This window comes from Homo sapiens, chromosome 6 (genome assembly GCF_000001405.40).
Source record: "Homo sapiens chromosome 6, GRCh38.p14 Primary Assembly".
Lineage (NCBI taxonomy): Eukaryota > Metazoa > Chordata > Mammalia > Primates > Hominidae > Homo > Homo sapiens.
The window spans coordinates 115900368-115927867 of record NC_000006.12 but is presented as its reverse complement, the minus strand read 5'-3'; the positions used below and the strand labels follow the sequence as shown (position 1 = coordinate 115927867).

Here is a 27500-nt window from a genome sequence, read left to right as displayed (position 1 = left end):
AATGCACCAATGGACACTCTGTATCTAGCTACTCTGGTGGGGACTTGGAAAACCTTTATGTCTAGCTAAGGGATTGTAAATACACCAATCGGCACTCTGTATCTAGCTCAAGGTTTGTAAACACACCAATCAGCACCCTGTGTCTAGCTCAGGGTTTGTGAATGCACCAATGGACACTCTGTATCTAGCTACTCTGGTGGGGACTTGGAGAACCTTTGTGGGGACACTCTGTATCCAGCTTATCTAGTGGGGATGTGGAGAACTTTTGTGTCTAGCTCAGGGATTGTAAACGCACCAATCAGCACCCTGTCAAAACGGACCAATCAGCTCTGTAAAACAGACCAATCGGCTCTCTGTAAAATGGACCAGTCAGCAGGATGTGGGTGGGGCCAGATAAGAGAATAAAAGCAGGCTGCTGGAGCCAGCAGTGCCAACCCACTTGGGTCCCCTTCCACACTGTGGTGGCTTTGTTCTTTCGCTCTTTGCAATAAATCTTGCAGCTGCTTACTCTTTGGGTCCACACTGCCTTTATGAGCTGTAACACCCACCACGAAGGTCTGCAGCTTCACTCCTGAAGCCAGTGACACCACGAACCCACAGGGAGGAACGGACAACTCCAGACGCGCCACCTTAAAAGCTGTAACACACACCGCGAAGGTCCGCAGCTTCACTCCTGAGCCAGCGAGACCACGAACCCACCAGAAGGAAGAAACTCCGAACACATCCGAACATCAGAAGGAACAAACTCCAGACATGCGGACGTGCTGCCTTTAAGAACTGTAACACTCACCGCGGGGGTCCGTGGCTTCATTCTTCAAGTCAGTGAGACCAAGAACCCACCAATTCCGGACACAATATGACCTAATTTGGACCTTAAAATATTATTTTATTTAAAGTATGGCTTCGATGAGGATAAGAATGGATATGGAGAGATAATTTAGGAGGATGGATTGTCTGGGAGAGAGGTAATAGTGGGTCAGCTTAGTGGAAGGCAGGAGATAATGAAAACAATGATGCACGTGAGACATTTGGAGGTGGAAATAGCAGAACTTGCCAACTGTTTGGCTATGTGGGCCAGGAAGAATTATGTATCAAGGATGTCCTCCAGGAGTAATTAAAATATGGGACTACAGAAAGGAAGCTGGTGGGTAGTGGTGATCATAGGAGCTTGTTAGTTAATCAGTTTAAGATGTCATGAAACATTTAATTTGAGATGTTAACTAAAGACTGCTGTTAGCTTTTGGCAACGTGGAGGCCCTAAAGAAGAGCATCTTCACCTGACAAGTGGGATCAACAGTAGACTGCAGTGGGTTGAGGCACAAGTGAGAGATATGAGGTTGGGGGCAACATTTATTGGACTGACAACTTTTTCCAACATGGAGCTGTGAAGGTGAGAGGAGACATAACTAACTGTGGATTTGAAATTCAGAGAATGTGTGTGTGTGTGTGTTTGTGTTTCTAAAAATGGGAGAGACTAGGTCTCATTTGAATGCTCTATAAATGATTGCCAGAGGTTATTTTGGCCAAAATAGAATACATAGAATAATGTACGAACGATTGGTGACTCAAATCTGAAAGAATAACTAACTGCTATCTTGCTTATTGAATTTGTATGGATTGCATAATATAGGCCTTCTTTGTTAAACAAAATTTCTTTGCCTTAGGGGAATTTAAGCCTGGAATATAGTAAAAACGTATTTTGAACGAATACATCTCCTATTCCAGGACTAACCATATAAGAGTTTCATGGTGACATTTTCTTACCTGTTTCCCAAACATTAATCTAGTTTGCTAATATTCTGAGAGTAAGCAGTTTGCTTTTCTTTAGAAATATGTTTTATCTAGACTAGAGAAAGAGGTAAAAAAAGAAAAAATTCAACTAAATCCAAGTAAAATATCTTTTCATTTTTCTTGAATGTGGATGTTAGGTCTAATTGAAACAATATGGCTTATTGCAGATGAAGTATGAAATCAATTGGAATATGTTAAAACAGTGTCAAAGAGGTAACAAGAAGCTGAAGTTTTAATGTGTCAGAGAGAAGATATTTGAATCATCCCAAATAATGCAATTATAAGAAAAAATAAAAGGGAAAAGGAAGGAAAAACAAAACAAAGAAAAGCAAGGCTATTTTAAGAAAACATATCATCAAAGTCTTTGGAGAAATGTTTCTTCTTTTATCTGGTTAATTGGCTTATGAATAATGCAGAAGTGTTCTTATTTGGCTTTAACATATCCTTAGTTCAAACCCTAAGTTTTGGGGGCTGAGTCAGACAGAAGTGATCTTGCAATAAAATCTTCCTTGGGCATTATCTTCATCAATCTATTTTCATAGAACTGCAGAATTTTAGAACTGATAGGAACCTTGGAGATCATGTAGTCAGGCTATCAGAAGCTCTTTCCTCTTATGGAATGAAACTCGGAAACAAAAATAATAACAAGCAAGGGATATTTAGTAATTCAAGGGGCATTTTTCTTCAAATGAGTCTGCTTCATAGACTCTCTAAATCCTAAAGAAATGGCATAAATAAGGTTGTCTCGAGTTGTTTTTTCCCTGTATTTTAGAGAAACTTATGGTGCCTAATTTAGAGAATTGCAAAGATAAAATTCAAGATTTGATTTTATGGCTGCACATTACAAATATTATTGTAAAACATGTATGATGTGCAATGTTGTGCAAATGGGGATGGGTACCAACATCAAGTAATAGCAAAAATTAGAGCAACAGATAAATTAATTTCAGGAGTTCTCAAGCTGATCAGCAGATGGGGGCCCAGATTGCTGCCAAACACTTTATGATTAGAAGAAAAAAGAAAAGGACTTTAGAAATAATCTAAAATTCTGATATCATATTCAGTGCATTAAAAAATACTGAAAATGTGCTCCCTTAATTTTAAGTACCTATGCTCAGATCTGCAATGAAGGCATTGATTATAGATTACAACACAGTGCCCTACATTTTAGAAAAAATGCAAAATTACACAGTTCATGACTCACCAAACTCTAATTATCAAAATAACTGAGTATTCCTCACCAAAACAGAGTTAATAGCATATAGCCCTCATGGATTTTCCTTTTTTACTATAGAGATTCTAATATTTCAGTTCTTATTTTTATATGTGTTTTTATGATGCATATTGAAGATCTTCCCACATGCCCAATTATATTTCAAATGCGTTGAAATGCTCTTTATATATCTTTGCTCTCTTTCTTTGCTTATTCACTCTTTTAACAAAGAAATATGAATAGACCTCTGTGAAATTAATTTTTTTAAATTACAGGCATTTGAATTATTATTAACACAAAAAGTAAAACATTTTTAATACTAACTCAAAACTGACAACTAATCATAGTTCAATTTTTTCAATCATAGGAGTCTTAAATTATTACACCAGTGAAAAACTGCACAATTTTTTTCCCGCTGTGCTTTAGAACTTTTACATCAGGAAACAGTGAAAATGATATGTTGTTTGTGGCATTAACTCTACTTAATTTGGAACCTTAGAATAATTTTATTTTCTTCCATTAAACCCTTAATGCATTTCAGCATAAAATTTAAGTATATTAATATGTCAAATATTGATTTTGTGTTAACACTTTAAGACTGTCTAAATTCCATAGATACTTTTTGGTGGATCTGAAAACTAGTTGATCTGTACTTTATTATCTACTCAATATTAGGATTATAAATCAATGTGTCCAATAAAGAAGAATTATGTCCTTCAGGTTCATTCTATCCTGATAAACAAATTTCTAATGAGATGAAGATGTAGAAAAATTTCTGTACTTTTTCTGCACAAATGATACAATTATATTTTCTCACATTTTTGACATTGCTTGGTTAAATTCTGGCAGTCTCATGTCCATGTGTCCTGATAGCAAGAAGATTTTAAGAAAGAAAAGTACTACTTGGTTAATGCTGGAAAAAATGTCAATGGAAAGTTGACTTCATATCTGGTTTGTCTTATTTTTTCTGGGGGTAAAAATAGATGCAAATATGTGGAATGTTAGAATCCCAATATGGTTCTGAGACACTGCTGGGCAAAGAAAGTTTTGGTTTTGGGCCTATTTAGGAGAACATTTGATTTACCTACAGAGTAAGCTTTCAGTAACACTTTTATAACTACTAAGTAGTTGCAGGGGAATATGAAGGCAGCAGAAAAGGAAAGGGTGAATGTTCTCTGAGGAATTGAGGAATTTTCTGCTTTCTGACTTCTGCAGGGATTGTTCCATTTTCTCTACTTCATTCTTTCCTGTGTTTGGCATAGGGTAGAAATGGGATCCCATGGAAAAAAAGAAGAAAGGGAACCTGGAAGAAAAAAAAACGTAGCTAAGCAGAGATGGTGAGGTCGTGAGAGAAAACTCATTCTTCCCTCTTGAGACTACATAGTTAGATTTACAGCATCTATTTCAGTCTTAGCCAAAGATTTACTGACAGGCCTTTGTCAAATCATATCACTTAATTTTATAAGCATTTTTTTCTCTTGGTAAAATATTGTTGTTAGTATTTATGAATTGCAATGAGGATTTCATGAACATAAAGCTATGAATATTTCATGAAGGTCTTGAGATATTTGGATCTAAGTATGTGTTATCAAATATAGCCAACTCTCAAATACCACTTAGTGGGTTATGTGTGAGGAACTTAGTTCTGCACTGATATTCCCTTGCCACATAGCATATTTTTGAGCTGTCTCCTTTCACAAGTTCGTCAGTGTGTAGTTAAGAAAAGCAATGTAATTTAATTTTAGTCTGGGCAGTAAATCTCCTGCTGTGAAGGTTGAGATATAAGGAGGTGGGTGAGTGCTGGTGGTGGAAATGCTTTGGGCTTTCATTCACTCTTCAATCCAACACTTATTGAGCATCTGCTCTGTGCTAGGGACTGGGTAGCATTGGGAATAAAAATATGAATAACAGAAGAAGACAGTGTGGTTAAGTGGTTAAGCTTTGGAGCTAGATTTATTGGATTTAAATTCTAAGTTTGAATTAGGAGTTGTTGGTTTTGGTCAGGTCACCTAATCTTGTTTACTTGTTTTTTTGTTTTGTTTTGTTTTAATCTGCAAAATGGGGATTTACCTAGACCACAGAACTGTTTTGAGAATTAAGTAAGAAACACACTTTGAGCAATGTCTGGCACAGGGCTATGTACTCAAAACATATTAGCTTTAAACATTCAGCTTCTGTCCTCCAAGACTATCATCTATGGGAACATGGATGAATAACCAATGACTACAATATAGTGTAAGTGCTATTACCCAGACATACATGGACCACTATGAGGGCTCAGGAGACACAATGAAATCAGATTGGAGGGTTGGTCCAAGTTGGAAGAAGAAATCACCACCAGATTTTGAAGGGAATTGAATTTTAAGCCAAGGACTTGTATTCTATCTAGCCTGAAAAATAATTGGCACACACATATAGGCTTCCAGTTTGAGTTTCAAGTTTATGGGACTTATCCTAGAAACTTTAATTAGGGTTTTCAACCAGACCCCTCTTTTAGGACATGAAATAACTTGACCCTTTAAGTTCATCAGAGATTCTGTTTAGTTTGTAGGCATCTGTTTAAATTTAAAAAGTTAGTTTTCAGTTAAGTCTACTTTTAATCTATCTTCATTTGCCATATTTCTCAAAATACTGTAACCATTCTTTGCATTTTATTCCTATTTTAAAATTTTAGTCTCTAGAGAATTTTGAAATTTCTTGGTTCTCATAAAATAACATTTATTTGCCTCACATTTTCTTCAAGTTTGGCATATATAATGGAAGAGAAACACCAGTGTAGGGAAGACAACTCCAAGGTAGTAAACGTAGCACATAAAAGTGAGTTTTGGTAGAGAGAACTCAGTGTGTGAAGAAGGAGGCTTACTCCATGACTCTCTGATCTGGAGGTGACTAATCAGGCTCTCTCATTTTTAAAAATTTATAAAATATGGGTATCACAGGGAATAATTAATATAGGAATGCCCAGCACACAGAAGGTTTCGGAACAATCTGAGTTGAATTCCAGTTCATGCTCATACACAGAACTCACTTGTAGTTTAAAATGATCTCTTTCTCCTAGAGGTAGTTGGCCTCACATCACATAAGATCAACTCTTAGCAGAGTGCCTGGCATGAAGTAGGCAACCAGTACATATTATTTTCTTGAATAAATAAAAAAGAGGACAATCCAAACCTTCACAACTAAAAACACAGTTTCTGGCTTCTTGGCAGATGGCAAGAGAAACATTTTCTTAAAGGGATACTGGAGATGGTGTGGTTTGCCTATATCCAGATCAGCTGGTGGCCAAATGGCGAAACTTTCTGCCTCTGGAGAAGACATCCGTAGAACTGGTGCCATGAATGAATGTGATGAATGCAACTTGAGAGCCAAGTCAAAAGACATTCTCCATTAGTCATCTATTCACAACTCTGGTTCCATAGATAATCAAGTGGAGCTGAATCTTTCCTTGAAAGCTTTCTGCAGAGAAGCACATGAGAGAGCTCCCAATTCACTAATTAGAATACCTGTTTCCAGAATAAATAAAAACAAGTGGATTAAATTCATTTTCCTTTTGGGCTAAAGTTTATAAGGATTCTTTATCTTCACTTCTGTCTCTCAATGTGAAATCAAAGAAAAAATTACCTAGGGTCGGGATCATAAGAGACTGAATTTAGGATGAAGATGGGATCATCTCACTTACCTAACTAGATAAAAGAAGAACATTGTTGTCTCAATTTCCAATCATGCGAAGAACAAAAATTCACAAATTTTCCTAAAATACGCATGAAGCCTGATATAGTTAGTATCAGTTTTTAGGGCTTGTGACTTAAAAATGTGAGGAGGCTTGGATGTCAGGAAAGAATTGCTCTGTTAAATCTTAAACTGAGCAGGTTCCATGTTATGGGAAGGTTCTATAAGGAGGGCTTCCTGAACCATAAAGGAAAATTTTAGGTCAAACAAATTTATTATTATAATCGAAATTCAGCTATACTCAGGCTGTCTTCACTCAAGGTTCCAGTATGATTCGCTATTTACTAATTTTCTCCATTCTCGAGATGAGTGTTTTAGATCAAGTTAAAGTGATTATTCATTCGTTCATTCATTCATTCATTCATTTTAATTCAGCAGCTATTTATTGAGTGCATATTATGTGCCAGATATTATCTAGCCCCTAGGGATAATGGGCCTAGAAAGATCGACTAAGTCTCGGCCCCACATTCTAAGGATAATTCACTCTGACCCAGTATTTCTGCCTGAATGCTGCAGTTTTTGTAACCAAAAGGGCAATATTATGGGGATATAAAGGTAAAATGGTGCTAAAGTTCTTCTCATTATGTCATTAATCTTCAGAGCATTAAAATACTCTCTAATTGTCTGCCAGCACTGCTGTATGGTTGAGGTTTTTCTTAAACCAAATTCCAAGGGCTTGATGATTCTTTGAAATCATTCTCAATTTCCCCGGACGTGGATAATAGAGAACTGACAAGCCTATTTCCTTGATAAATAAAAATTATCAGATTTATTTTCATCCTAGAAAATTTCTAGAGACGTTTCAAATAGAACTCATATGAAATAATCTGAGTGCCTAAGTTTAGATAGTTTTATAAAAAATGAAATGTTTCGGGCTTTAGTTATCACAGTTTATGTTAGAGAGCTATGATGGGGCACTGTTGGCAATGTTAGGTCTTATAAAAGAGCAACTGTGAAAATATAAATCCTAGTAATGCCTGGACAAGCATTTCACTCAGTTCTGTGAGGGTCCACCTGATTTTTGTCAATTGCAGTGTTTCTGTATGTGTATCACAACCACCACCACCACCATCACCACCACCATTACCACCGCCACTAACAACAAAAACAACACAGTCTCTGTCCTCTTTGAAACATCTCATCAACAGACCACAGCTTCAAAGAGCCTAATGAGACCTGTTGTTTACCAAGACACTTAGATCTTATCTTGGGTTGTAGATTGCCAAAGGTTTGCAAACATTCTGAGTAACTCTATATAGATATTATAGTTTCTGTAGGGAATGTTCTCTATAAGTAAAATTTGCTTAGAATGGCTCAGTGTGTAGCCTACTCCATCTCCAAATATGGAAACTATCTACTTAAAATCTGCAAGTTTGAAACTGACCTCCCTTTTTCATCTGTTATATTTTTCATGATTTTTCACTCTTCTGCTTTTCTGACTTATCTGAGAAGGCAGGACATTTTGACATCTGCTTAGTTCACTTTTTCTAAGTCTTATCTACTTCATCTTTTCTAAGTTTGTCTTAAAATTCCTGAGGGTAATTTGCTTAGAGATATGGTGACTGTAATCAATTGACAAATTTTATTTTAATTTTTAAAAGACAGTAGTAGAAATCAATTGACTTTTTCCTCTTTTTTATTATATTCATCTTTTTTTTCCTACCAGTAGACTATCAAAGGCAGAACTCTACATTTTAAATAGGTCAGATGAACACCATAAGCCTCAAAAGGAATGGGAAATTTGTCTCAATCAAAATGTGGGAAAGGAAAATTGCTTATTAAAAATATTTACTATTAAAATTTTAGCCCATGGAAAATAGTGATGGAAAAGTGTAGTGACCCTCAACAAATGTCATATTTTTCTCTTAAACTTCCATTTTTTCTCATTCCCTAGATAAGGGCATTTAAAAATAGTTGCTTCTTGATTTCTTGTTCATATCTAATCACACTTTGGCTAGAGTTCTTGTCTATTCCTTCAGTGTTAACTCTCATGTACACATAGATTTAAAAACCACAAGTATTCATTGAGTGCTGTGCTGGTCATTCTCTGCTTGCTGCAAATCCTTCTTTGCCGTGCTTTGTGCCATGGGCGGATGACTTCTACAGCTGTATCACTCATCTCCCTTGTTCTCTGGTATTGGGTTAGACTTGGACAATAGAAGGATGGGGGGAAAGTGAGTTGGGGTGATTATTTCTCCTCTCATCTCCTCACTGTTGAACTGAGATCCTGGTTTCAGCTCTTGTCGTTGGCCCCTTTTCTCCCACTCCAGAGCTCAGGTAACATCACTTCCTCCTCCTGCTATTTTTACCTACAGTCAATGACACCTTCCATCTGTTGCTTCTGTGTGTGGCTTTCTATCCCTTTTAAGTCCCTTATTCCTGCACACCCTTCTGATTTTAACAGAGGCAACTTCTCATTGGGTATCAGGAACCATATTAAGTGCCAGAGATTCAGTGGTGAACCAACTAGAGAAACTGTGAAAATATAAATCCTAGTAATGCCTGGACAAGCATTTCACTCAGTTCTGTGAGGGTCCACCTGAGTTTTTGTCAATTGCAGTGTTTCTGTATGTGTATCACCACCACCACCACCACCATTAACACCACCACTAACAACAAAACTTTTTGTCTTTTGGTGCTCACATCCTAGTATGGTATCCCAGTTTGTGGGAATAGTAAACTAATAAACTAAAAACAACAATTACCATTGGGGCAAGATTTCTGATAACAATGGGGTGGTATAAAGACAAACCGATGTGGGAATTTTGAATCTGAGCTAATTTAGACATGGAAATGTTTCTGTTGGTGTAGCAAGGGAGATAAGGCCTGAATAATGAAAAATAATCTAGCCATTTGAAGGACAGGAGAAAAAAATTAGCAAATACAAAGGGCTTGATCCAGGAAAGAGGTTGATGATACTCAAATCTATATTGTAGTTGAAAACCTCATATTTAAATTATCTTCTTACACCTGAAACTGTCTATGATAATGTATTTACACATTGGCAAAGACTTAGATGATGCTTAGGACATCCCAGATACTGTTCTTAGTACTTTATATTATCTCATTTAATCTTCGTTAAAATTTGAAAAACAGATGCTATTTTCTCCTCTCTATGGAGGAGGAAACTACGTACAAAGAAGATATGTCCTTCTGCCATCTAAGACCAGGCATATCCATGGACAATTTGTTTCTAATATTTCTATCAATGGAATCTTCATTATCTCAATCATACAAAGTAGAAACTTTGATATTACACTTGATCATTTTTCTTGCATTCTGTCAGGCATGAATCCTTATTACTTGCTCCTTCAGAACATCTATGCTATGTGTCACTGTCTCCATTCTCACCAGTAATGCCCTAATGTAAACCCATTACCTCCCACCTGGATCATTGGATTACATAAGGTAGCACTGGTATGGTTTGGCTGTGTCACCACCCAAATCTCATCTTGAATTTCCACATGTTGTGGGAAGGACCTGGTGGGAGATAATGTAATCATGGGAGCAAGTCTTTCCCCTACTGTTCTCATGATAGTGAATAAGTCTCATGAGATCTAATGGTTTTAAAAAGAGGCATTCTCCTGCACAAGCTCTCTCATTTTTTGCCTGCTGCTATCCACGTAAGATGGGACTTGCTCCTCCTTGCCTTCTGCCATGATTGTGAGGTTTCCCCAGTCACGTGGAACTGTAAGTCCAGTTAAACCTCTTTCTTTTGTAAATAGCTCAGTCTCAGATGTGTCTTTATCAGCAGTGTGAAAATGGACTAATATAATTACATAAGGTAGCACCCTCCCATCATCTCTCGTACTTCAGAAGGGGAGAGTCTGAAGAAGCTGCCAAATTATTTTTATCTAGAAAATGAATTCATCACATTATTTCCCTTTGCAAAAATCACCAAAGTTTCACAATTCCAACAAAAGGAAGCATCATAAAAATGCTTTGTAATTTAGCTTTGAGTTCTCTTTATCCTTTATCTCTTGTTTTTTCAATGTGAGTCTTCTGTCCCTGATTTCTGATTACTCTACAATTTTCTGCACATGGATGAGTTAGAAATTCTGTGTGTACCTTTGCCTTCAAGTATGAATTAGGTGAACACAATTGTGGGGGAAAACATGTTAACTTAGGAGTCTATTAATACTTGGAAGATTTAATTAATAGGCTTTGCAAAGTAATTATGCACCTGTGACTGAGAACACATTTATAAGTTTGAGAATTGACTCCCTCTTCTCACCTTTGCCATGCTGATTAAATAACAGCAAGGTAGAGTGGTGTTTTAACTGGTGTGTGTGTGTGTGTGTGTGTGTGTGTGTGTAATTATCTATCAAAATTTTATTTTCTTTACTCAGTGGCCCCTCAGCTAACATGACTGTTGAATTTAACTATGAGAAACATATTTAAGGAAATTAAATTCATTCATTTAGTGTATATTTGTTGAGCCATTGTTATATGAAAATCCTACTTAAGAGCCATGTGGAGTAAAAGAATATAATATGCTTTTTTTGCCTAATGGAACTTTAGAACTTCGTTTTCCACCAGAGGGCAAAATGAAGCTTATATAAGTTTACCTGGGAGGTTACTGGTGAGTACTGGAAGGAAGTATTAGAGGATCCCAGGTATCTAGGTGGGTAGAAACCACGTGTTAATTTATTCAGCACTTGGATTTCACTACTTTTGTAATGGAATTTGAATTTATTTCTCTTTAGCCCAAAGTTGCTCTCTGGCTCAGCGCTTAATCTTCACTTATGCCTCTTAGCATTAAGGAACAGTCAATATTTGCCTGAAATTAAGGACTGAGAAATCAATGTTTTTAAAAGTGCTTAGTAACCAGTGTCCTTGGGTATTTACTCACTTTCAGAATCACTTCTATTCCAATCAATGCAAAAGCTCTAGAATTTATTGTTCTGCCTCAAGATCAAGCCCCCTTTCCCCAACACTACATGTTCCTGTGTCTGCATAATTCAGTCTAGAATAATGCCACAGGAGTTCCAGTAAGACAGTCTGTGGTGTCCTTTTGTCACTCTCTGCATCTCAGGGTAGCCAGGGAATAGGAAGAAGGGATCTTGATATTTCAGATCCTTTAAAACTCATTAAGGTGGCTATGTGCACTTCGATTTCAGTTCCCCTTGAAAGACTCCCCATTATATAAGTTGTGTATATGTCTCTTCGTTTTTCTCATTGTCTCAAAGATAATAACTATAGGAACACACACACATTTACACATGCACAAACCTCTCAAAGACCAACATCAACTCTAATTAACAATACAGCTTCAACTGGGAGATGCCGGATTCAGATGGTGCAGAGGCCAGTCAAGAAACTCAAGTGAGTGCAGGGCACAGTATCACAGAGCAGGGTGAGGATGGTGGCAACCTCTACCTTCTCCACCTTTCTGTTACTACATAGCAATGAGTCTCCCCTGCTGTAATATTTGAATTATGGCAAGAGGAGCCAGAAATCCATATTTTAAAAATGAAAATAAATGAATTTTAAAAGACTTAATGATTAATTTCATGTGTCAACTTGAGTGGGCCATGGAGTACCCAGACATTTGGTCAAATATTATTCTGGGTGTGTCTTTGAGGGTATTTTTGGATGAGATTAGCATTTAAGTCAATAGACTGAGAAAAGCAGATCATCCACCTAATGTGGGTGGGCCTCATCCAATCAATTGAAGACTTGAACAAATAGGCTGAGTAAAAGGGAACTCCTCCTGCCTGACTACTTGAGCTGGAACATTAATCTTCTTTCATTATATATATGTATATAATAAAAAATATATAAAACTATGTATATATAGTTTTAATGTTCTTTGTTTTGGAACATTAATCTTTTTCTGCCTTTGAAATCAAAGAAAAAATCCACTTTTGGGTTTTGAGCCTACTGGTTTTCAGACTGGAACTTACACCATCAGCTATTCTGACTTTCAGGCCTTCAGACCCATACTGAAACTATACCATTGGCTTTCCAGGGTCTCCTGCTTGCTGACTGCAGATCTTTGGACTTTTTAACCTTTATAATTGAGCAAGGAAATTCCTTATAATAAGTATATGGTCCATTACTAGATCATATACTTGTCAGTGACTGCTCTCCTCACAACATGAAGGCTTACTGGAGCTAGTAAATTCTTAGACCAGGGGCCTCTTCCTCCCTGGCCCCCACTGAAGGTGGTATTGGGGAAACTGGGAATGGTGGGGATGGTAGTCTCATTATTCCAGTTAGGTAAGTAAAGAGACTCTATTTTTAAACAAACCAAATCAAATACATTCAAAGGGATGTTCACTTTCAAGGTAGTCTCCTTAAAAAAACTATACTTATTTTAATAAACATGCTGACATTATTCAGATAATATTTTTAATTTCTTTTTGCAGAATTGCCTTAAAACAGTTTCACAGGAAAATTAATCTACACTGCAAATTGCTCTCTGTTTTTTACTAAAAACATTAGTCAAATTAAACTTTTACTTTTTCAAATAACTTTTGGCTTAAATGTGAATTTAAATATACTCTTTAATGAAAAACTATTTTCTACCACTAAGATTACATAAAAGGATGCATTAGAGACAGATTTTTAAAATATTTTGAGCAATGGCCATACTCTGGAATAAATGCATATTATGCAAAGACAATTGCTTTGAAGGGGTCATGTGGAGGTAGTTTTGGAGAATTTGTTTAGAACTCAGTCTTGTTTACCTTAAAGCAGGGGCCACAAAATCAAAAGCTCTCACTGAGTGTATTGGTTTGGGAGGAAGGCAACAGGAAGTAAGCTAAGTCTGTCAAGATCAGGCATCCACTACTTAGCAACAATCAGAGGTTGTCTGCGAGGCATCTGGGCCTTGTGTTGCAAAATTGTTGATGTTTCAACATCCGTGGAGGAGCAGGGGAGACTTGTGAGTTGAGGGTGATTGGTACCATTGGTGGTCATGTGGTATCCAGAACAGGAGGGAAGGAAGTGGAAACCTTGAGTACAGACCTGCATTTGAGAAATTTTCCTGTGAAAGAAAGAAAATAAATTAAGAAGTTAGCAGAGTCCAGTGGAATTTAAGGTGGATGTAAAGGGAAAGGGAAGTATTCTGAGGATAGCCTATGAATGATATGAATAGAGAGGGAAAGTGGAGGTGTTGTGGAAAGCAGGACTAACTGAGGGAACATGCAACCAGCAAACGTTGAAGGGATGAAATCAAAGGTATAAGAAGAAGGATCTCCTCCTCTGGGAAAGAGATTTATTCTGGCAGAAAAAGAAGATCAATTATTTGGATAAAAATGGAAAACATACTTATCAAATTTGTATATGCCACCAATCTGTGAGGAGCAGCTAATATGATTGATAATAGAGTCAAGATTCAAGAAGTCATGTTGGAATGTGAGAATGATGAATTGAAACAAACAAAAATGAAGTTTAGTGGTAATACATGCAAAATTTCTCCTTTATACCAAAATCAATCATTTAAAGTAAAGAATGGAGGAGAAATAACTTCATTCTATTTCATGTGGAAAAGAGTAGCATTTTCTTGTAAAAGCTTGCATATTAATGATGCCAGCAGGGTAACACGATTGCTTTAAAGCTAATGCAACCCTATGTTTAATTGGGAGACTATGGGGCTGCAGCAATAGCCGAAAATTGGGATACTAATTTAATAAACTATGATGCAACCTCATAATGAAATAACCTGCTGTTATTAAAGAATGAACGAGAAAGCTCTTTATGTACTAATTGGGAAAGATTTTCAAGCTATATTGTTAAGCACACAAAAAATGAAGGTGCACAATAGTATATACAGAAAGTTACCTTTCATTTATTTAAAATGGGGGAAATAAAATATATGCATTTGTTAATTCTTTATTTGCATAAAGAGATCCCAAAATAATAAAAATGAGTTTAAAATATTAGGTTATCCATAGCAGGCAGAGTGGAAATAATGTAGACAGGGTCAGGGATAGGAATAAGTTTTCTCAGTGCATCCTGTTTAATTTTATTTTGACTATTTGAATGTATTATCAAATTTAATAAATATTTGTTTAAATGGGATGGATGAGGTGAGGGGTTGGAATTTATAAGTGAGAAGGGAAAACCGAGGAAAACTATCCAAAATTATAAAATTTTCAATGGCAAGGTTTATTCTTTACTTATTCTTTTCTATGGTATCTACAATTACACTGTTCATGTAGGAGACTATTAATCAAATATTTGCTAATCAAATGAACAAATGAATGAATTACTACATGAGATGATATTTGTCCTCAAATGTATGAATGACTTGCCAAAGAGGAAGAGCCTTGTTTTTAGTTCTATGCGATCAAAGTTGTACCAATGAATGATAGTTACAGGAGGAAAAAAATGAGTTTGTTCTTTCAGCAAGCATTTTTGAGGGACTGTTTTGTAGCAGGCACTGCGAATGTCAAGTGGAATAAGACATGGCTTATGCTTTCAAGAAGGTTACAGTTTAGAATCGGGGTGTCAGGTGCATAGATGATCACAACAAACTGAAATGGGAGAGTAAAACACTAGGGATAGGCACAGAAAGTTTGGGGAGTGCTGAGCAAACCTTAGATAAGGGTGTAGGAGTGGGTTTGGGCTGATGGGTTTGCTGGCTAATCTTTGATTAGGCTTCTGAACCTTCACCTATGCTTACCTGTGGACTTCCTTGTAAAATGCAGGTTTGGCAAGGAACTCTGCTAAAGTAGTTTACCAAGAACCTCCAACCCTTAATCACCATCCATATCTGATTGAGTTCCTCATCCTCTACCATCCACCGGTGATGTCTGACCACCCTGTCTTAGTTTTAGAATGTGGTTAAGTTGGTTTAGCCAGAATCCCCCTTACCCTTGGTGTTTCTTCTTAATAATTTTCTATTACTGACCCCTATCCTGTTCCTTGGCTATAAATTCCCACTTACCCAAGCTGTATTCGAAGTTGAGCCCAATCGCTCCCTCACTGCAAGACCCCTTTGCAGTGGTCTCTATACCTATAGCAGTGGTCCTGAGTAAAATCTTCCTTACTGTACTTTAACAAATACTATTGAACAATTTTTTTGGGGGTGGTCATGGTTGGCTTCCTGGAGAGTTCCATGCCTGAGACCAATCTTAAAATAAGCAAGGAAGGAAAGGGGAGACAGGAGGGATAAGCCAGAGGGAGGGACAGCAAGAGCAGAGTCTTGGGGAGAAAAGAGGAGAGTGGGTTGTGAGGGGCATCAGGAAATTTGTCTTGGTGGAGCATTAGCAGGATATGTGACAAGAAAGGCACAACACCAACCTTGAGCTCAGTATAAGGAAGAGGTTTATAGCTGTCTGCCTGAGCTAAAGAGGGAATGGTGCTTAGTGGAAGTTTGCATGTTCAAGCCCAGGCAGGCTACATGACCACTTGTTAGTGCTGTGGAAAAGAGAGCATGCCCTCAGAATTTTAAACAGAAACTGTCTTTTATAAGAACCATATTGCAGGAAGAAAGGAGGATGAGACCCTTACACCTGAGTTGCCTGACAGATGGAAATTGCAGGTTTTCTCTCTTGCAAGTGCTACTTAAGATTACCTCCCCCATTGCCTAGTGGTTGGCAGGGGAGGAGAGGCATTGTGACATTCAGGGAAAGGAGAGGAGACCTCATGGTACTGAGCAGTGGGGGAAGCACTGAAGTGAATAAACTTGAAAAAGACTATTTGAAAAGGGTGCTGATAACATATATTTGAAAAGGGCCTTGTAACCAGTAATGCATTAAGCAGTAATCCTTTTGTGGAAGCTTGAAGTTTCTCTAAGGATGGTCATTTTGAGCTATCTTACTATAGAGGGGGTTGATATTTTTTTCCTTTGGTAAGGGCAGTAAAGAGAAGGAACCTAAACAGTATAAAGAATTGTACCAGATGGTCATTTATGATACTCTGTAGCCCTACACTTAGTAATTGTGAAAGATTGTTGTCAAAACCTGCCTTAGGACTGTATAGTTTCATATCACCCCTAGAGAAAGAATTTCTTTGGGAAGAAGAAAGGTTTTTTGTTTACCTTTCCTCCCTAGGATTAATACAGGGGCTTACTATCTAGTAGGAACATTAAATAAGTACTTTTTATGAATGAATGTGGTAGAGGAGCACTCAGTTCTCTGGTGTGTCTGATCTGTGCACTCAGAGTTCTATGATTCAAGTACCTTCCATGAATCTTAATACACAACACACACACACACACACACACACACACACTTTTACAAATGCAAGAGCAGAGGAACAGCAAAGTTAGGTAACTTGCCTGAGATCACAGAGCTAGTCAGTGTTGAAACACACAAGTCTTTCTAACTCACAAATTCATGGTTTTAGACTACTGCATTGAGAGATTTGTGTGGCTTGTTTTATTATTCGGTCTCTTTCCATATAAAATATAAAGATATATACATATAAATGAATTTAAATTTTTCATATATCTATATTATATATATGTGTATATATATATATATATATATATATATATATATATATGAATTTAAAAATTTCTGAAAGCTACCCAGAGAAAATAAGGTGGCATTTGTTTCTCTCCTTAAATTTAGCCGCTAGGTCCTGATGCTTGTTAAGAAGAAATTTCAGGGTAGCAGCCTACATTTCCCATGGGAAGCCCATGTCTGCTTTAGAGAGTTGTTCTATAATTTGGAGAACGAGTAGAGGCTGACAGTGTAGCGAGAAGGGTACAATCAGCTTCCTGACATGGGAAGAAAGCCCGTGAACGGGTCATCTCCCTGGAGGCCCTAGGAGCCAACTATGACACAGAGCTAACAACTTCCAGAGGGAGTTGGGCCAGGCTTTCTTCTCCAGATGGCTCATTGCAGGATGGAAGGCCCCACGGTGGGGGGCCTGTGGAAGGGGCTGTCCTGGAGGCAGGAACAAGCGATAACAATGAGGAAGCCTTCTGATACCAACTGGGGCACGCTATCCCTGAAAAAGAAGGAACCAAACTACTGTCGCCTCACCATAGGGAGCTGCCTCTCACACTGCTCAGCTGGGTTCACCCTGGCACTCCTTTTGATATGAATAATTATAAACACACTATGTACGATCTTGCATATGTTCCATTCTTTGGCAAAAGCCATTATACTAATTACCAGCATTTTGAGGGTGTGTCAAACACTTGAAGTGAATTTTTTTTTTATCTCATAAGAGAAGCTGCAACACTGTACATATGATTCTGTATTAATGAGTTACCAAGAATATAATTTAAAATTTTTGGCTGTTTTCCTCTTATGTATGATATTTCCTCCCTACCTACCTGAGCATTTATGCTTGCAAATTCTGCAGTAAATGTAACCTTGTACCCATGATTTCTTGAACTTCTCTTGCAAACAAGAAGCAAAAGCAAAGATAAGAACCACAAAGTTGATTTCCCATTACATAGCTATGATTTTCTTTTAAAATAATTATTTATCTATTTCAAATCAGTGTACTTGGGATATCCATCACCTTATATATTTGTCTTTATGCTAGAAACATTTGAACTACTCTCTTCTAGCTATTTTGAGATACACAATAAATTATTGTGAACTATGGTCACCCTATTGGTCTTCAAACACTAGGTCTTATTTTTTCTATCAAACTGTATATTTGTACCCATTAATCAACCTTTCCACACAATTTTCTGTTTTTCTCTTATGTATCTTCCTTATACCAACAAAATGTACGAGAACATTACTTTTCAAGAACACTTATTGTAGTTTTTCTAAAATTGTGATATGACAGCATTCAGGTTTGTGTGTGTGTGTATGCCACTAACCTCAAAGGCCGTATGCAATTGCTAAGGCATTAAAGTTAACCACATTTGGAAACCGCTATTTGACTCATCATTTCATTATTGCTAATTTGTTAAATTGCTATAACATTGCATACTTTTAAAACAGCTTTTAACACAGAAGTTATTTGTTCATTAAAATAATTAGCCCCCTTTTATAGCTAAATTTTACTCGAGGAGGTTAAGTGACTTGCAAGTGGGCAGGTGGTGGGTTAAGGATTATTAGCTGGCCTCTGATGTTTAGTCTAGGGTTTTGGCCGTTGTGTTAATTTGCCTCTCTAAAGGAAAAAAAATTATCTCAGTTACTAGGAATCCCAACACAAGCCACCTTCCTGTCTCTCTCCAGCTGCTTCATGTACTGCTGTTTAAAATAGCCAGGAGAAGAGCAATAGGTGCATCCAGTGGGGAGGAGGGGTACATGGGTATCTGGAGGGGTCAGTCCTTGACTGATATCTTTGTCCCCTAGTGTTTGGTCACTGCTGTTCAGTTGGAAGCATAATTTCCTTCAAATATTGTTCATTTGGTTATTGTAGAAGTGACAAGGATAAAGGGAAGCTGAAAGTTCAAACAACCTACCTCCTAGATGAATTGGGGATGTGTCAAGACAAGTTTACTCAACCCTTCCGGAATTTTCTGGGCCTCATATACCATCTTCTCTTTTATAATCTCTGCCTCCTCTCCACATTCTCTTCTCTCTTTCTCTTTAGTTCTATATACCTTTCTCTCCTTCACCTGTTTAGTGAGTCTCTCACTTTTTCCCTTTCTTTCCAGTCTTTCTGTGGTACTCAAGGTATATGTCATTTGTTCTTGGTAGAACAAAGAATCTGGGTCCTTGTTTAAAATGTAGTGAAGTAGCCAATAGCTTAGTGGCCACAATATGTCATGTCATATTTGTCTGTGTCAAATCACGATGGCCATTAGTACCTCTTCCTTTTACCAACAGCCTGTTTAACTAGACTGGGCAATGGTAGTCAACACTTATCTAACTCTGTCTGCACTGGCCTCTCCACTTCTATTTCTATATCTTCATCTCTGTGTCCATATACCCATGTTTCTCTCTTTTTTTCTCTTTCAAAATGGAAAAGAAAAAATTATCAGTTATATTTTGATTGTACACATCCAAATAAAAGTTATTTTCTTAATTCTCCTAAGAGCTTGTAAAATAAGAGTCACACATAATGACACCAATAAGCAATATGTAGAAATTCAAAACATAATATTTAATAAGAAAATTGGAAACTATTACAGCCAGACTGGGGAGGCTGAGAGATGTCTGATTCCCATTAAAGAAAATTCATCTCAGGAGATCCTAATTACAAATGTCCAGATACCTGGTAGTCACTGAACTGGAAAATTTGCCCCCTTTTAACAAATTTCCTGTTCAAGTTTCTAGAAATTTTTCATAAAATATAAGTGATACTTGTTATTAAAATCAGTTATAAATTCTGTAGATAGTAATATGACTTTTTCTTTTTTCCTGTAGCACTGCTATGAACTAAATGTTTGTGTCCCCCCAAATTCATATGTAGAAGTTTAATCACCAGTGTGATGGTCCCACCCTCCCGTTAAGAGGTAATTAGGTCATGATGGTGGAGCATAAGTGGATTGAATAAGGACTTGAAAAGTGCAGCTAAAGTGTGAGAGAGCTGGATGGCAAGGAGAACCTTGAAAAAATTAGAGTTGCTTAGTTTTGTCAGCCAAGCTGGAGGGGAAATAGTTAAAGGAAACATAAAGGAAAGAAATAAGTGTCATTCATGAAATTCCAATCCCAAGTACAAGGGACTGTCTATTTTAACCCGTTAGAGGTAAGTTTCATGTAAATGTAAGGATGTAATATAAAGATGTCAGTGGCATCTATTTAGAACTTATTGCCCCAACAAGCACATGGGCGCTAACACCAAATCTCAGAAGTCTAGGACTGAACAGAGGAATCCTCTTGGCACAGCATTAGGGTGGGGTTCAGCAGGAGCTACGAGGTGAAATTATGTTATAGATGAATGAGTCTTACATTACTTCAAGGAGCTACTGGCAGAGACAATACAGAAAGAATTATGAGAACTGAGGTTGAGAAACAAGACTGTAGCCCCAAGACAGAACTGGGAAGGAGTGAGGGGAAAAATGGAGAGACAGAGAGGCAAGGAAAGGATGCTGGGAGGCCTATCCCAGGATCTTGGGCCTAAGGCAATTACTTAACTGCTGCTAGAATATGATGTAAGAATAAAAGAGAGGATTAGCTGTCAATTCAAATATTGGTTTATAGATGATCATATTATTCCTGCACTGGAGTCAAATTATTCTTAAGGCTTGGACAAGGCTGAACACATAGGCATGCAGTATATGGCCCGAACTCTAGTTCTTGGAGTGCCATTGTATCAGGAAACCAAATCCTGGAAAGACATAGAAAACTGACTCCAGTGTGAAACACATAGCCTATCTGCATCTATAATTTGTGAACACTTCTGGTTATTTATGCTTATTAAAGCAGTGAGAAGATATGAAATATAAATAACTCCACAGAAAGTCTAAATAAGTCATTTTTTGAACCATAATAAGTAATTTAAGGAAGCTTAAGCTATTCGAAGTATATCAGTTACATTTTATTAGTTGATTTCTGTGGAACAATCACATCTCCCATGAACCTATCTTGGTGTGACTCTCAGAAAAAGGTACAAAAATGGAGGAACCATGAATCTAATCTAGTTTATCAATTTTAGTTACATGCGCTTGTAAAAATTGCAAGAAAAAAATTTCACTGTAGGGTGTTAGCATTTAGAATCATAATAATTTCTAACCTACTTATTTGTAATTTGACTTTCTCCTTTGGCTTACTTTTTATATAAGGAGAATTTGAAGAATCGCATTGCCCTGCTGCCAATTTTTATACCAATGTGGCAGAACATTTGTCTACAAAATTATCTCACCACATCTTGCTGTTTATTTCAATGAATGCCCTGATTTTGCAAATTTTGTAGACAATATTCTAAAGAAAGATATTTTGACATTAATAAAACTTTTCTTTGAGAAATTATAACACGGCTGAGCTATATTTTAAAAATCCCAAATGCTGTGTATATATGTATAGATTGTTTGTATAGAAATGGGACTAGGGGCCAATGGATTCACACTCAGAGCATTATGGTATGTTTACTGCAACAAATGTGTTCTCATTAAAGATGAGGACTTCTTGGAACTTCAGTGCCTACATCCAAAAAATGATTCTGGTTTCTAGGGGTGATTATTTGGTGGAGGACATATTCTGTGGCAGGTGGTCTTTTGTCAATATCCTTCATGATGGTCTACATGAAATTAAGGCTGGCCCTGCCTATAAACCAGTACTGAGAGAAATCTTTTTTTTTTTTTTTTGCTACCTAAGGAAACTAACACTTTTTATCCTGTATCCTCTCTAGTCACAATGAATAAACACATTAATTCATTGTGTACAAAGGACATGCAGCTCAATTATTTTCTAGGGGCATAAATTAAATGCTGAGCACAGTTTAGGCAGCAGGGCATCTTTCTTGAAAGAGTAGAGAAAAGCTGTGGATGCTTCTAATCCTGCCTGTTAGTATAGTGAACAAATCAAGTTTAATCCGTTTCAGTGTTGGGCTTTAAATTTTCATGTTTTCTTCCTGTTTTTCAGTGGAAGCTGGCATGCAGACCAGCCATAGTGCTTGTTTGTTTTTATCTGAACAAATGTCTCCATTCCCACCAAAGGGCTTGTGTATTTTTTACCCTTTCTTTTCCAAACGACCTGTCAAAACTCAGAAATGTCATGTTAATGTTTTATGGACAGACCATCCCAGCTGCTTCGGGAAACGGCAGCACCACTTCAATAATTTACATTGCATTTCTGCTTCACTTTTTCTTGTATCTGTAAATTTTCAGCAGTGAGAAACCAAACGGCAATAGGGTTTCTAGGCAGCGTATCTGTATCTAGAGCTTTGTCCACTGCTAATCCTGTTCCCTGCCCTCCTCCCTAAATGAAAGAGTCAAACAATTTCCATCTTCAAGTGCTAGTGGGAGCCATCAATCTATTCTCACACGGGAGCTGTGTTTCATGTTGTGGTTGAACTTTCACATTTGTTTTTACCTATTGTATTTATTGACTGTACTCCATAATTAGCAACCTATTTTATATTTACTTATTCACTAAGAATTCTGTTTATAAATGTCTTGGCTTCTTACCTCAATGAAAATATTCTGGCTAAGAATTGAATTCATACTTCTTTTGTGTCACTTTAATATAATCATATGAAATCTGGCACAGACTATAAAATCTGACAAGACTCTTAAGTTCTTGTCAAGTTTTAAAAATGTGATAATGAACAAAGTTTGCCTTTTGTTTAATATATGGTGTGGTGGGAAGAGAGGCTTGGCAGTCAGAAGGCCTAGAATTGAGGCTCAGTTTTCCCTTGGCCTTTTTTGGAATTATAGTCAAGGAATTCTTTTTTCTCATCTTGAGGCAGGATTTCTAGTACTTGTCTAGTACTTTATCTCACAGGGCCATTGTGAAGACAAAATGAGATATTGTATGTAGATGTTTCATCAATAGACAATCTTTAGCCTGATCCTCTTAGTCTGTAAATGACTTTAACACATTTTGTTTGAGTTTTAACACATTTTGCCTCTACATCAACGTTTTGAGGCTTTCGTGCTCTGAATCAGCAAAGGTCCAAGTGGCAGTGCCTACTCGAAGCAACACAACCTCTTGACTTCTGGAAGTGTTAAGCAAAGGTGTTCAGCCAGGAAAAGTGCAGATTGGTGCAATCCTATGTCAGAGAATGTGAAAGGGGTTTGTGTAACAGAAAATCATTTCTGGGCCGGGCGCAGTGGCTCACGCATATAATCCTAGCAGATTGAGAGGCCAAGGCGGGTGGATTGCCTGAGCTCAAGTGTTCGAGACCAACTTGGGCAACTTGGTGAAACCCCATCTCTACTAAGATACAAAAAATTAGCCAGGCGTGGCAGTGTGTGCATGTAGTCCCAGCTACTCTGAGATGAGATCATGCTACTGCACTCCAACCTGGGTGATAGAGCGAGACTCCGTCTCAAAAAAAAAAAAAAAAAAGATTATTTCTGTTGGTTCTCATCTAATAAAAAGGTGCCCTAAACAAAGGCCTGATCTTTTTCTAAACTCTCATTGTGAGAATGTAAAATATACATAATTTATCAAAGAACCTTAAGCTTACAGAGATTTTCATAAAAATGTTTTAAATAAAAGAGCATGTACTTTCTTTAGGGATCAATTTCTAGGACAAGTCCACTTTATGCATAATCTAGCACCTTGGAATTTATAAAACAATTATCCAGCACCCATCAAGAGGGGTATATTTTTCACCTTGAAAGTGGATATTTAGAATTTATGTGTAAATTATTTTTAGATATTGTACTAAGTCCCTGTAATGGAAATTGTTGAAGAATTTGAATGCAATATAATATATTGAGTCATGTTTAATTGACCTGAATCTAAATGGCTTGTATATAATAGAATCTCAGAGATTTCCCAAATTTATATCTCATATTCTATTGTTTCCCTTATCAGATGGGTTATTGCCTTGATATAAGAATGCTAAGTAGTGAGTTTTAACTTACATACATCTTGGGTTTATTGTCTGCCTTATATTATAGTTGTTTCTAGGCTTATCTCTCTTTTGATGCAAGGGACTCAATCATGTTTTCATAAGCCACATAATTACTTGAACATACTAGTTGCTCAAGAGATGCTAATAGAAGGAGTGAATAAGTAATTATATATTGTCTTGAGAGAACAATTTTTCCCAAATGATTTCATGAAGTTTTCATTTCAGCTATTGGCTATGACATAACTTAATGATCCAAAGTCTTTGGCCTGTTCAGTGTGACTTCATGGAGCAACTAATGTTATGTCTGTGGGCATCAGTTTATCACCTGTGGAAAGTGAAGATGCTGACATGAACAACTCCCAAATATCATAAGCTGATCTTTGTGCCTTCTTATCATGCAACTCAATCCAAGCTCTCTGATTCTATATGCTTTTACTCCCACCTGGAATCTCTCATGTGCATTAACAGACGCACACAATCATGTGAAATTAATGTGTCTAATTTCCCTAGAATTTCCTCTCTCTTTTGAAGCAGAAATTAGGTGGAAGCAAGTGTGTGTGTGTGTGTGTGTGTGTGTAAGTAGAAATGGAAAAAACATTTGTAAAAATAGACATTCTTTATCTGTATGTGGACTGATTTCTTCTTCTTTAACCAGAGAAAAGGAAATTTAGTTTATAGAACCAGAAATGGATGATTTGCAGAGCTCAGGAGAATTCTCCTACTGCTTGCAAATTAGGACGTTGGGAGAGGGAGACTCAAAGCATCTTAGAGAAGAGAATAGAAGGGAAGCTATACACAATTTGGGGGAGGATATTCTTAAATACCACAGTCTTTATTCCAAGAAAATGACTTTTATCAGCCTAACCTAAATAATGTTAGTAAGTAGAAGCAAGTGCCATGACTTGACTTAACATGTTTGTGTGGAAACTGTAATTATATATGAAGTTTAATATTTTTCACTGATGGTTATTCTTTACCCATATAGCCCATGGTGATGTTTTACAGCACCACCCTCCTTCCCACATTATGGTGGAGAGGGATGGATCCCTGGCAGGCAACACAAGGATGTTTACCCTACAGTGTGTGGGTGCCAAGCCTCTTGTGCTGCAGAGTTCCAACTGTTCACTATCAATTTTGATCTTGGCTTAAAGAAGGACCACCCTCTGTCTGCTACTTGCAGACAAAAATGAACCGCTTACCACTGCTGCACGTCATCAGCCAGCAGATGCTAACACTCTCTGTAACAGGATAACAGGAATGCATCATAAAAATAATTTAATGTACTAACTAGCTTTGGAAAATAGCTGATTATTTGATTTTCTATATTGTGATTTATTAAAGAAACAAGCAAACAAGACAATTCTCCTTTCCAGAGGGAAGTAAAATGGATACAGTTACCACATTGAGTATCTGTTATACTTAAAAAAATCAAACCTGAAAGAATATTAATGGTCATGATTACATACAGTTGGACATAAATCTTAGGTATTGAGGGCTTCTTGAATGCTAAAATATGTGGTATGACATCCCTCTTTTGGAGGAAGCTGGGCACTAAGAAATGTGCTATGTTTTTGGCAGGAAGTCACTGGCTCCATCACTGAGTGGTTCTTTGGTCCCAGCTGCAGGTTGATTGATGGCATCACATCGAAGAACACTCTGGGGGGAGCTGTTTATCCCCATCTTCCATCTGGAGCTGCTGGGATAGAGTTCACTGTGATGATGGCTACTGAATGAGCTGCACTGGCAGGACCTCTGTGACAAGGAAGGATTGCGGCTAGGGAGCCAGGCCCGAATCAAAGGATGTCAAGGAAATGAATGGAGCTAAGCAGGAAACAGCCAACTCTTCTCAAACATGATGGGGCAGCAATTCAAAAAGAAAGATGGTGCACAGCTTTTAAAACTACAAAATGGGAGAATATTATGTTCCTTTGTTCTTTCACTTACAGAGGTTACTTTATAGATATGTGTTTCAGATCAAATAAACATGCTGCTAACAACTGAAATATAATGACTCTGTTGACTGCTATGTACCGTTTAAAATATGTTTAATCACATTAGATTATAAGCCTCTTTTAGGGAAGGTATCCAATATTTATCTGGGCACATCAATAACCAGTACAAGAGAAGCATTCTTGATCCACAGGTCCTCTAGGAATCTGCAGTTACTATGTGTTTAGAAAATGGCAGAACAGAAAAGTCGCGCACACACGTGCAGACACACACACACACACACACACACACACACACACACACACACTCCCTTTTAATGGGGGACAGTATAGAAAAGTCCATAAACATAACACAGAAAAGCACCTGCAAAGAATGGACAAATGTAAGCATGCATCCCACCAACCACAGACATAGCTGGAATAAGTGCCAAGTACTGCAGGGGTAGGAGGCTTCATGAGAAGTGAGGGCATGTCTGGGATCACAGCCAGTGACAGAGTGTCTAGAAAACCTCTGTGGAAGAGAGTTGTAGGCAGATCTTGAAGGGAGACATGTAATTTTCTGGGATTTTTTGTTTGTTTGTTTGTTTTTTGTTTTTACTCTGCTGCTTATGGTGATGAATTACCACTTTGGCAGTGTAGTTTTGTGCAATGTTATTGTAAAGCTTTTATTATTTATAATAAAATCCATTTCAAAAACTACACTAATAGTTATACAGCATGAGATGCAAAATATCCCAGAGATAAAAATGGAAGAGTTCTCTAAGAAGGGTGACTATTCAGGCTAGTTTCTGAGTTGGGTTAGAACTGGGGCCATTCTGGCTGGTGGGTTAAAATTTGTGAGCATTATTTGTAATTTGACAGAAAGGATAACTGCAGTGATGAGATAAAAGGATCATTGAGGAAGGTGAAGTTAGCTGTTTTATTGCTTCAGGAGGTTTGACGGAGGGAAAAGTGAAATAGAGAGAACACACATGAGGCATCTGCACACCTTGTTTCTAACATAAGCAAGGAAAAGACCAACCTGAGAGAATATATTTATTAGTCAACATAATTCTGTCATGAACGTCTTGTTCATTTTGCTGTATGGAGTTCACAGATTGATTCTGTGACTCTCACTTTTCTGGTTATGGGTAGGTATTATTACTACACTACCCTGTTTTTACACACAGTTAATATAATGTTTTTATTTTTGGCAATAAAATCTATTTATTAAACTACGCTGACTAGATTAAAAAGGTGCTTTTTGGAATCAGAATTGCATTGTGTATTCTTTTGCTTTATAGACAATATTTATTTAAGGTCTGAGCTGACAGACACTGAGATTCTTATTAACTGAGGCAAACACCAAAGGCTTGGAATGATTAACACTTGGAATCAGGAGAAAGCACTAACTAGGCACCTAATTTGTGCCCACTGCTTTATATTTGCTTTTTCTTTAATGTCCCCACAACAATAGGGATTAAAATGATATAAGGATATAG

At 37.2% G+C, this 27500-nt stretch overlaps 1 long non-coding RNA gene across 1 annotated transcript, besides 1 other annotated feature; it reads left to right on the top strand.

Annotated features, from left to right (window-relative positions):
- Window positions 1–429: 429 nt before the first annotated feature.
- LOC124901385 (uncharacterized) lies at window positions 430–26073 on the top strand. The gene is made up of 2 exons (XR_007059720.1): window positions 430–1390; window positions 25649–26073. It is a non-coding gene; the product is annotated as an uncharacterized LOC124901385 (long non-coding RNA).
- Window positions 13323–13824: an enhancer, noted in NCBI's record as "NANOG hESC enhancer chr6:116235207-116235708 (GRCh37/hg19 assembly coordinates)". NCBI's record gives its function as "activates a minimal SCP1, AML or CMV promoter by ChIP-STARR-seq in primed H9 embryonic stem cells {active_cell/tissue: H9 hESC(primed)}" and the evidence as "EXISTENCE:reporter gene assay evidence [ECO:0000049][PMID:30033119]".
- Window positions 26074–27500: the final 1427 nt, after the last annotated feature.